General features: G+C 39.7%; 2 annotated features.

Moving 5' to 3' along the window:
• Positions 2119 to 2722: an enhancer, noted in NCBI's record as "OCT4-NANOG hESC enhancer chr16:74060166-74060769 (GRCh37/hg19 assembly coordinates)". NCBI's record gives its function as "activates a minimal SCP1, AML or CMV promoter by ChIP-STARR-seq in naive H9 embryonic stem cells {active_cell/tissue: H9 hESC(naive)}" and the evidence as "EXISTENCE:reporter gene assay evidence [ECO:0000049][PMID:30033119]".
• Positions 4621 to 5499: an enhancer, noted in NCBI's record as "NANOG-H3K4me1 hESC enhancer chr16:74062668-74063546 (GRCh37/hg19 assembly coordinates)". NCBI's record gives its function as "activates a minimal SCP1, AML or CMV promoter by ChIP-STARR-seq in primed H9 embryonic stem cells {active_cell/tissue: H9 hESC(primed)}" and the evidence as "EXISTENCE:reporter gene assay evidence [ECO:0000049][PMID:30033119]".

Below are 11793 nucleotides of genomic sequence, written 5' to 3' on the forward strand. Positions count from 1 at the left end.
AGACCCAAACATACTTGTTTTTACTTTCCTGCTACACCCATAAATGGTTAAAAATGTAACAATCAACCTGCAGCTGGCATTAATCTATAAAAGTTGACATAGATCAAACCAAAAGAAAAATTTCTTTTCCACCTGGACTTTGGAATCCTAGGGCAAAGTTAGCAGAATAAGGAATGGGGTATGCAAGACCAGCCCTCATTTCTTCACCTGGGAAGCGGATAGTCCACAGTCGTGCCTGGGCCCACCATATAATGCACTACCCTCTTCCAACCCGTGGCTCAGACTTGAACCTTGTTGCGCAGATAAAGGAGGTGGCAAATGCACGCTTTTCAGACAAAAGTAACACAGCTGAAAGTTTGCTGACCTGTTTCAGCTGTGCCTAACTTCTGGGAAGGTGGCGTTACCCTAACTTAAAATTTGCACAAGGCGTAAGCCAGATGGGATGGAATTCACAGATAGTACTGACAGCCAGTGATTAAACAGAAGCTTCCATGATTCCCCACATTAGAACTGCATTTAGATTGTGTCTGACCAGTTCAGTGATTTTTTTAAAAAAAAAATCTTGCATGATGTCCTAAGAGGAGATGAGGCAGAAAGGGCTAATGCTCACTGGATTACATTAGGTCTTTTTACGCACTTCAGATGACAAATGTATTGCTTATCTTTGTTCTTTGAATTAGATCCGTAAGTGTGAAAATCCTAACAACTTCTAGAAGGTTAGTTAGTTTCTACCTGGTTCTGGAAGTACTGCCCCTTTCTGTCTTGTTCCGTCATTACTTTTTGAAAGATGTCCGTCACCCAGGACAGCAAGATATTAAACTTTGAAAAATGCCTTTCCATATTTTCTCCCATAAAGGATCAGTTTAAAAATTGGAGATTAAAAATGGAAACATTTTGCCAGCTTTATACTAATGTGGCATTTACACATTCTTCCATAGCATTTAAACGCACTCACTAGACTGGCATCCATTCTAAGCACAGTGTAAAGCCCAGAAAGGCATTTTATTCTTTCCAGGTGTGCTTGACTGGTTTATTTATGGTCTGACTTCCTTTCATAGTGTGAGAAACTTTAGCCTTCTGCCAGCTGCAAAGGATTGTTCAGAAGAAGCATTTTTAAGTTAAAAAATAGAGAGCAACACTTTTTTCTCCTGCCGCCCTCACCTCCCCCAGCCCCCTGCCACACTTCATGCACCTTCTTGCATTGGTTAGTCTGTGACATGTCTAAATAGGCATTTAACTGTATTCGCCATCAAAGAAGGTGCTCCATGCAGGCAACAGTATATTAACTTAATGAATACCAGAAAGGATAAGAAGGAGGGTATGGAGCTGTTAACTCCAGCCCAAGTTATCCTTCCTGAGAGCACTCATCACATTCAGTAGAAACACCCACACACACATGCGTGCACATGCACACACACACACACACACAAACACACAGAGAGAGAGAGAGACAGACTTTTCTCTCATTCTTCCAGTTCTGGAGAAGCTGGGATGATGTCCCTGAAGCACAGCTGAAAGGCACAGCCCTGATTTGCAAAAAGGCCGTGTGATGTGAGATGCTTCTGTTCTCTGCACACAGCCACACAAAATAAGTCTAAATGTTTTCTCATTCATAACTAACATCAGAAGGTCCCCAGCAGTATTACCTTGCCTGACTCCATAAGGAGGTCCAATGAAAGACCATTATCTACCTCTTTGCTGGCCACATTATGCTCCAAAGAGGCAGGTATAAAAAGATAAAGTGATTCTGAAAGATCATTTTTTACTGCATAAAAGAAAACGGTATTTCCTAATTTAAATAATTTTCCACTTATTTGCAGAGCTAACTAATTTGGGCTGAAATAACTGACTCCACCTTCAAAAAAAATTGCACTCAATACAGACAACTTTCTAAATGCTTCTGAAATGACTAAGGTTTTTCAAAAAATTATTTGACAGAGTCCTTTATGACAACTGTGACTTTAAAAAGATGAAAGCATGTGAATGACAGCAAAGATGAGACAAAATTGACTCTTGCAATAAAAAGGTTGACAGGACTTGAAATTTTTAAATAAAAAATTATTGAATCCAAATGACATAGATCCCAGGAAAATTTAAGTGCTTCAATAATAAGATCACAGAGTAGGTATGTTTCTTGGAAAAGAAAACTTGCTTTTATTGGGTAGGCGTGGTTTTGAAAAATTACCACATAATTTAGAGATCCACGGGAATCTTTGGCATTTCAAAACTTGAGTGGAACCTTTGGAAAAAGCTCATCACAGCTCTTTTTAATCTTTGAGGAAGCTGGCACTCTGCGATGCAGTTGTTAAACAGCCTGGCCATGCCAAAATTCATCATAGCACTGCCCCAGGGAGGCTGCTAGCTGCCTGACCCCAGCAGTTCAGAGTGGGACTGGAACAAAAGGCTAGCATCCATTTCAAAAAGAACCCCAGGAAGCATCTGCGGGAGGATGAAGAGTGTTGAGGTGGAAGCCAGAAGACAGTGGGAGTGAGGAAAGCACTAGCTAAGGAAGCAGAGAGGGCTGAGGAAGGAAGGAGGCTGAGCCAGCAGGTTTATTGGCAGAAGTCACACACATGATTGCTAGGCAATGGTCAATTTCCAGACAATAACCACAGAGTAACAGCAAAGCAGTAAAGAGGAGAGATCATGAAGAATGCACCTTCACACAGAGAAATGACAAAGAGAGGAAAAGGGAACAGGGAGGAAGGTGTGGAAGGAAGGAAGAAGAAAAAGAAGAAAGGGAGAGAGAGGGAGGAAGGAAAGGAGAGATAAGAAAAAGGGAAGGGGAGGAGGGAAAGAAAAAGGGAAGATGAGTAAGGGAAGAGAGGAAGGAACGGAAGGAAGGGGGAAGGAAGAAAAAGAATATGAAAGTAGCAGGCGAGACACTTGAAGAAAGTAAAGTTTATCAAAATGAATTAGCAGGAAATCTTTCTATTTACAGACTGTAGAATTTACCTAGGCTGGCAAATGGCCTGCTATTCCTTTTTTTGTGCTGTCAACAAGTGTTACCAATTGTTAATAGCATTAAAATCTTTATCACTTAATTTATTTTATTAATCCCATTCGGGTTTAACATTACTAGCACATGACTGTAAACAGCAATAATAATGCCACCGAGGTTGGTATCAACAATGCTAAAGGTTATCATGTAAAATCCAGCCTACCAGCAGCGAGAAAGGCTCTTGCAAACCTTTACATTAAGGAAAAGCCTTGCACAGATCCACAAAACTGTGATCTTAATATGATATAGCATCCCCTGTCCTCCGATGAATTCTCCAATATTTAAAAAACAAATCTCAACATCCAAGAAGCATTTTAGGAAAGGGTTAATGTATATTTAAGTAATGCACGATCTTTAACCCTTTCCTTCTGTTTCTGCTCTTCTTCCAAAGTCGAAGCAAGTTTTTTTTGCATACAACTTTATCAAATACATTTTTAAAACAATAATGCCAGTGTAAAATGGGGTTATTACTTTAGATAATTCTTATTTTCTTTTATTTATTTATTTATTTGAGACGGAGTCGCCCTCTGTCACCCAGGCTGGAGTGCAGCGGCATGATCTTGGCTTACTGCATCCTTCACCTCCCAGGTTCAATCGATCCTCCTGTCTCAGCCTCCCGAGTAGCTGGGACTACAGGCGCGTGTCACCATGCCCAGCTCATCTTTGTAATTTTAGTAGAAACGGAGTTTCTCCATCTTGGCCATGCTGGTCTCGAGTTCCTGATCCTAGGTGAACCGCCCGCCTCGGCCTCCCAAAGTGCTGGGATTACAGGCCTGAGCCACCGCACCCTGCCTAGTTAATTTTTTTAATTGTTCACTCCAGTATTTTACAGTCACCTAAGTTCATGCGATTAAGGACTTGAAGTGTCTTTGGGAGTCGGGGGCGAGGGTTGGGATCCTTTCAGGCCACCTTCAATCTCTAGTCCAAACAAACTGGGGGCAGCCATTTCAGCACAACCATCACCCCAAAAAGGTCATTCTGCTTTTTTCTGCCCAACTTGTGGAACTTCTCTGAATTTTTATACATCTTCATTCATAGATGAGACTTGTGAGTGAAAGCCATTCTGATCAGCTCCATGGGTTTTATCTGATAGGCTGCATTAGGCTGCATCATAGCATGTGTACAACTTCTCCCACTCTAAAAGTAAGGCGGGATGGTGATTTTAATAAGATGAGTGAATCCAAGGGTGGGAATTCAGAAATCAGCATGGTTGAAAGCAATTATCTGGACAATTAAAAACTTCAACTGTGGTGAGGTTTTGTTAAAACACAAAGTTGATAGAAATTCAATTTGGGGAAGCTAGGTGATTTCACTTAAGGAAGGCTCATCTGTGATGGAGAGCAGCAAATAAACCCTGAAAGGAAAACACTCAAGAGGCGTTCAAGGCGGTCCAATTCAGTTGGTCAAGATATCTGAGGAAGCACTACTAAGGAGTATCAGTTTTTTTAAATGATGAATCTGCTATATAAACATTCAGACTGCACTAGGGACTCATTCATGTAATTATTTTATAGTTTGCCTTAGCACTGAGTTTTGGAGCTGAGGTTAAATTCAGATGTGACTTCTAAAGAGAAAGGGAGAAAGCTCTATCTGGCCATTTAAAGCTGTTTCAGGTGACTTCTAAGTCAAGTACTGTCATCTTCCAACATACCTTCGAGTAGTTATCCAGAAGTATCTCTATTTTTAGGAGCTTTTCCTAAACCATACAACTCCCTTGAGAAAACAGCTGCTTAGGCTAGGCTTATTGTCATTCAACTGAGGCCTCCATCAACCAATGTTTATGAGTAGAGACTAGAGGAACTACAGCTAACATTGCTAGTTTACCAAGTGCTATGATAGGCTTTTATTTTATTACATTTCACCAGACTGCAGGTGGATTTTTGTCCCCACAATTACAGACAAGTTGAGGCTCAGCTTAAGTAGAAGAGTTATCAATTTCCCTGATGTCACACCAACTCAAGAGGCAAGATTGGACTTTGAGCCGGGCTCCAGCACCAAACCTTTAGATCTCCTGGGGTGATACAAAGCAGTCCAAACCAGGGTTCCAGGCTTTGATGACTAACAACCAGGCTGTGAAAAGAAATACGGTAAACACTACATAACATGAGATGTAAATCACACTTTAAGGCACAATACATGTCAAAGCACTTTGCATCCACTTTGAAACCAAACACCACCACTCACTGGAAACAACAGTCTTCCAGTAAATCTATCTTACTTAAAAGAAAAGGGTGAATAAGTAAACAAATGCCAACAAGCATTGTTTGGCTAATGCAGGGAGGTAGTCTTAGCAATCGCCTAGCCTCTAAAATGTTGCCAATTGTTTTATCAAGAAGAAACGTAAGTCTCTTTCTAGCACCATCTTGGGTAAGTATTGCCATGGGAAAGCCTGGGTATGCCACTTTTTATAGCGGTTGCATGGCTACTGTAAAGTGTGCAGAGAGGAATTCGTGTAAGCAGCTGCCAACCACACCCTAAGCCCAGGCAGCTATCTCACTTTATGAACTACTGGTCATGACAAGAAGTGTGAATGGTGGATAAACCATCACCGTTCAGACAACGCAAAAGAAGTTTTCCCAATTGTGGGCGGAGGTAGATGTAGGGTTCAGGAAATTATATATAGGTCTACTCTTGCCACCTAGGAAGATAAATGACAGGGATTCATACACATATGCTTACTTAAATGTTATTCTTCAACAGACTGGTTAATCAAATGCTCCTGTTCAGCAAATAATAATGAGGCACACACATTCCAAGTGTAAGGAGGGAATGAGTTATTTACCCTTCATCCTTCTAAACATGTCCTAAGTGCTGTGGCCAGAAAGCAAAGGAGAGAAACAAGGGTAGACTCCCAGCCACTCTGGTAAAACCTTCCAAATCACCAATGCAACCTGCACCTTCATTCACCAGTCCCCCCCATCAAAGGACAAGGTTGCGCAGGGGGCAACCCCTTGCAGGACTCCAGCAATTAAGAAACAAAGCAGAAATCCTCCGTGGAATTCAGGAAGGCACCTGGGTAAAGCTGTTTGAGAGCCCGGAATTCCAGTCACACCCTAGGGCAGAGTGCCCAGGGGCCAAAGGGCTGTGTCCGGCTTGGTGCACTTGGGCCAGGTGATTTACTGTCCTCACCCCTTGATTTTCAGGGAATTGGGGAAAAAGAGTTCAGGCTGTGAACTGCCTTTCTGCTCATTTTTCTCTGCTACAACGTCAGAGGTTACCAAAGTCTGTAAGGGCACAGAATGTAAAAAAAAAAAAAAAGGTTTCCCGCTGCAGATGTGGAAGGCTGGGCCCTCGAGTCCTGCCTGAGTGGGCCATCATCAGAAGCCCTTCTCCTTTTGTTCCATTTGCTAGGCCTTCCTCGAAAGAACTGAATGAGATAGACAGGAAGGGGAGGGGGTGGGCCAGGGTGGGGGAGGGAAGGCTGGCTGGTGCAAGAATATATTTTCTATGTCTGGATAAGAGAACAGGATTCTAGGTAATTGCCTGGTTTTCTCATTGTTCTCGGCTGCCATGCCGAGATTCATAGAGGGGCTGAAAGGATCTCTTTTTTTTTTTCTTTCCCCTCTAATTCTTCACTCCCCCAACACACACACACCCTCCAAATCACCGATCCCCCCCCCTTAATCCTTTTCCCTCCCCCCTCTATGGTGCTTATTCCATCCTAGGGAAAAAAAAAAGTAATTTGTCTGTTTTATTTATGATGCAATGAAGGTATGCTGCTCTCGTCGGGATAGCCTGACACTGGTCAAACTATCTGACAGCCGAGAAGAACTGCCTTCATACTCCAATGAGTGTATATTTTAACCATTTGTCCGCCAAACCACACCACGAGGTTTTGTCAGGATTCACAACATGCTCTCTTTTGTTGTTTAAGTCTATTTTGTTGCATCCCAGTTAAAATCAGAACATGAAGTGTGTGCATGGACTATTGGGTCTTGCATTTGCACCCTAAAATACAGAGATACTATACGTCATCTGGCAAAAATGAAGATTGTCTGAATATTCTGGGGGAAGACAGACCACTGGGGATGGTCTTAGAACTACTCTGAATTCAGGAACCTAGAACAGTCATGCTGCAAGTCTTAAATCAAGACACCCCATTTAGTTATCACGTCCATAAAGTGGGATTAGCGCAAATGAAACTGAAATTCCCAGCTCTTCCTCCCAGAATTAAAAATAAAAGCACAGGTCAAAGAGCTAGCGTAGTCCTGTTATGAACAAGATTAGAAAAAAGCACATGTCTAAGTAAAAAGTCCCCAAGCATATAAAGACTTGTTTCTCAGATGGGACCAAAGTTGCTAAGTAGTTGATATTCCATCTTCTAAGTTTTAATCAGAAAGTTGTACCCACCATTTGCAAAATGGGACTTTTAAGAAAGAATCTGAGGGCAACAAACGCAATAGCCAAAGAGACCGTGGTTTTGTATGTATTCCTTCTCGATTCTCATTGCACTGTCCTCACCGGGTCCCATGATCTACCTGCCAAATGTATACTCACTTGTATACACTCTGAAGGCTATTCACCTTTACTTTCAACCACAAACTCTCAATTCCAGAGGGCCTGCCTCACATTCTCTCTCTCCCTCCCTCCCGTTGCCTTGCCACCAGCAATTTAATTCTCCTTTGCAGACATAAAAGGACACACTGGGTTTTAACAATTATACTTTTGATTTTCTCATAAAAAAACAATGCTCAGAATTAGGCCCCAGACAATCTGTTCTTGTCCTGCAAAGGCCTGTGAGGCAAGATTTCCAGAAGAACCAATGGGATTTCTGCTGACTGAAAATATTTTTAATAAACTACAAAAGAAAAGTGCTAAAAAAAGAAAAAAAAACTCACAACAGGTTCAGAAATGTAATGTAATGCACACAGCATGAAGCAGAAACAAAGACCCAGCAGACAGAGAGTGTGATGAATGGTCCTAACCATATTGTATTTATTTATTTTTTAAAAATCTGCATTTGCCTTTCATCTGCAAATGAAAGGAATAGGGAGAAAGTGAGTAGGCATTCCAAGGAATTTCTTCGGTGTAATAAGAGCAAACACAAATATTATAAACTCGGGCAGAATTAAAGTCTAGCAGCAACAAAGATATAGAATGGCTGAAAAAATCAGAGCTCCCACTGTGTTTTTTTGCACTCAGCTGTGGAAGGTGGCAAGAAAACCCAGTACAACGCAGACTCAAGACAGAGCAGTGACCACAGTGCTGGATGCTTCTGCTTTTCCCATCAAATGTGAAAGTTAGTTAAATTGAATTTTCATGAGATGGCAGGGAAAAAAAATTTAGAAATATTTATGAAATGCTTTTTCATAATGTAAAGGTATACTTAAAATTCTCAACAGTTCTTTTTAAAAATTAACGTGGTAAGATCACTCAATAACACACACATATACGAGCTGGAAGATTCTGTAAATTTTCAAGCCATGTAAAAGCCACCCACCCACTCCTCTGTACCCATTGTTCCCAAGGTGTCAGGAGGCACTGGGTGAACCCTGCTGTATTATTTCATAGTATGCATGGTACACTTGATAGGCCATAAAAGTTAACATATTTTGGCAAGGGTATTAATTTATAAATAGTTGATTAAGTGTACTTCATTAGCCATGGAAGGAACTAAGCATATTTTTTGGTAGAAAAGGGTGTTATGCATTATATATGTGCATGCACACATCCCTTCATATAGATACACAGAGTACACCATTTTCATCAGTTGTATCAATATTCATAACAAAATGCACATGAATTTCTCAGGTTGGAAGTCATCCATTTTTAGTGAAAAATAACCAGTTTAACTTGATAACTCTTTAAATATCTAGAAAACTTAATACTTTACACATTTGTTATATTTAATTTTTCATATTCAACGAGTTTTAAGCAGTGTTCATTTCAAACAAAAGGATATGGCACAAATAACTTTTTAAGATTCGTTTAGATTAAAGGGCAAAGGCAATGTTTAACTGTTAATGCCAGCACAGGAAAACATACCCCTCAAAGATAAGCTAGCTTGGTGTATATAAACATTTTATAATTATTCTATAGTTCTGGAAAAGAGTTATATGTTGGGCTTGGCAATGATGATAGGACCATGTCAACATCAAGATCAAGAATAGGCTAGTTGATCATAATAAACTTGATAAAATGAAATTCTTTCTTAATAGTCGACACTAACAGCCATGATTATATGTGCAATATCCACATAACATAGAATGGGTCATTTGGTTAAAATAAACTTGCTTATATGAAAATTCATGGCTGCAAAAATAAACATCTGGACAGTAATATATGCAGTTCTGACTCTCCCTATGTTTTAAATTTTGAAAGGTTTATAATTTATATTTTCAAAATAGTTTCAGAATGGGCTAACAACATAGATCACATCACTCTATGTAACCTGATTAAATTTCACGTTGGAAACTGACAGAGGCCTCTCTATGATCCTTCCTTACAGTAATTGTCCTGCCGTTTTGCGGCTCCTGCTCCACCTGGCTCAACCGCAGCCGTCATAAATCGCAGACTACAAAGCTGCATGATTTGAGAGCCAGCGCCAAAAACGCAAGTTTCAAAAATTGAACCACTCACAGTTCCTCCTCTTCATTTTGAGACAATAAATTTTGTGCTCACATTATCTTGTTATATAATTGCCCGTTAATAAAAACTAGGTAGTGAGAGCCAAATAAATAAATGGCATTTCACAAAATCATCTACACACACACACTCTCTCTCAAACACACACACACACACACACACACACTCACATTTTCTAACTGCTTTGAAAAAGAAATGGAGAAAATGCTTGCAAGTAAATAGGCAGGCAGGCAGCAAAAGAAATTCTCAAAGGTATTTCCAAACTTGCATTCACAACGTGAAAATTGGTGTGAGCTCCAGATTCCTGGAATATTCCCAAGACATAAGTTTTTGAGTATTATCCCCTTATATTAGTTACTGTATTTTTAAAGAGTTATTTTACACATTTCTTTTTTGTTGTTGTTGATTTTCAATAAACAAAAAACTCTTAATTTTTTTGGGGGGGTTATGAATTTCTGCATCAGGAAGGTGATTTGTTTTGCCCATTGAAGCTGATGTATTGAAATGAGCTTTTGCAACTTGATCACTTTTCTCGTGCACCCTTAGAAGAAGCCTTAACAATATCTCTAAGCACTTTTTCCAGGGTCTGCAGAAAGTGGGACGTCTCCTTTAAAGTCCTGGAAAACCACGATTGAACTGTTTGGGAATTCTGTTGTCGCGTATTTATCTGTGCCTCTGTTATAGGCGTTTCAGCGCCTCTTCTTGAAAAGGTCCGATTCTCCTCTGGACTACTGGCCTCTATTTAATTCATTCCTCTCTCAGACAGAGACGTACATCAAACAGGAGAGAAATATGACTGGAATAAATACCTATTTTCTCTCCCTTTTCAGATTAAATATCTCCAGCCACAGATAGAAACCTCCTTAAACTGAAATTAATTTCTGTATTTAAGAAAATACATCAGGTGGTATGTTTTACTTTCATTGCATTTCTGGTGCAATTGGCAAACCCTCAAATTCTTACTATAAATGCATTTTTAATCTACAACCCAGCCTGAGGTTTCTCTTATTCTCCCGATTATCATTTCCCTCTGTGTTTGGGACCTTGTTTGTTATCTCTCTTGCTCAATGCTTATTCAAAAATGCCTTCAATCTTAAAAAACTGGTAAGACAATATATAAAAGGCTGACAGGAAAACACACACATAGAGCTATACACAATCTATAATTTTCTAATATTAGAAGATTTTTTCCTCATAGTCTCATCCAAAAGAAAACGAATTATTTACATTCACAGCTTAAAAAATAATTATACATACTTGTTCTCTACGCTCAAATGCTGCTGGGGACTGGGTGTATTTTATAGAGGTACACTGCCCTCTGCAGGGAAAAACAGCTTTTTGACAACTCTTTGGGGCAACCTCAAAAAAACAGTATCGCTCTGGGGCTGAAAATATAAACAAATAGTTTCTTAAATGGGTTTGCTTATAAGCAATTAAACTGTATTTATGCACCTTAAAATATACTTGCTCACACTCTTATTTTTCTTACGTGTTGGCTTATCCCATTATACTTCTAGAAACACAATAGGAAAAGGGCAACGTTCTTTATCACAAGCTGAGCGACAATACTGAATGGAACACAGAATTGCTCCAGCTTCATTTCTTCTCCAAATTACAGTAGACTCGAAAAAATTTAATAGTCATTCAAGTGCCTTGGGAACGGTGTGCAATAGGGCCCTGAATTTTTCAAGGAACCTCTCTAGATTTCTGCTCTGGGTTTGGGCTGTGGGTGGTAGAATTTCAGGATTCTTAAATCCCCAGGAAATTGCTTTGTGGTTCTTGTATTTTCACTTCAATACTTGGGAAAATGAAATGAGCTGATATTGATAAAGCCTCATTGTATGTATTTTGAACAATAAATTAAGATGCTAATCAAGAGAAAGTTTGACGACCCAGTCGTAACTACTCAAAACTTAAGTGTTGTGGTGGAAATTAGCAATAGTTAGGAGCTACTGAGTTAAGTTCATCGAGGCTTTCATTCCAGATTGGGTCTACCTGTCTTTGCCAAATACCTGAAAACCTTTTCCAGCAATTAAATGAGAAGGGTTATCTTTTTTTTTTTTTTTTAAGGAATTTTTTTAAGGTTGTCATGGAGTAGATTCTGTAAATACAAAATGGGTGAAAAGATATCACCATTTAGTGGCATTTCCCAATTCCCAATAAAGTCTTAAGGGGTAATTCCTTCCACTGAAAAAGAAAATTGTGAC

The sequence above is a fragment of the Homo sapiens genome, chromosome 16 (assembly GCF_000001405.40).
Source record: "Homo sapiens chromosome 16, GRCh38.p14 Primary Assembly".
NCBI classification, from domain to species: domain Eukaryota; kingdom Metazoa; phylum Chordata; class Mammalia; order Primates; family Hominidae; genus Homo; species Homo sapiens.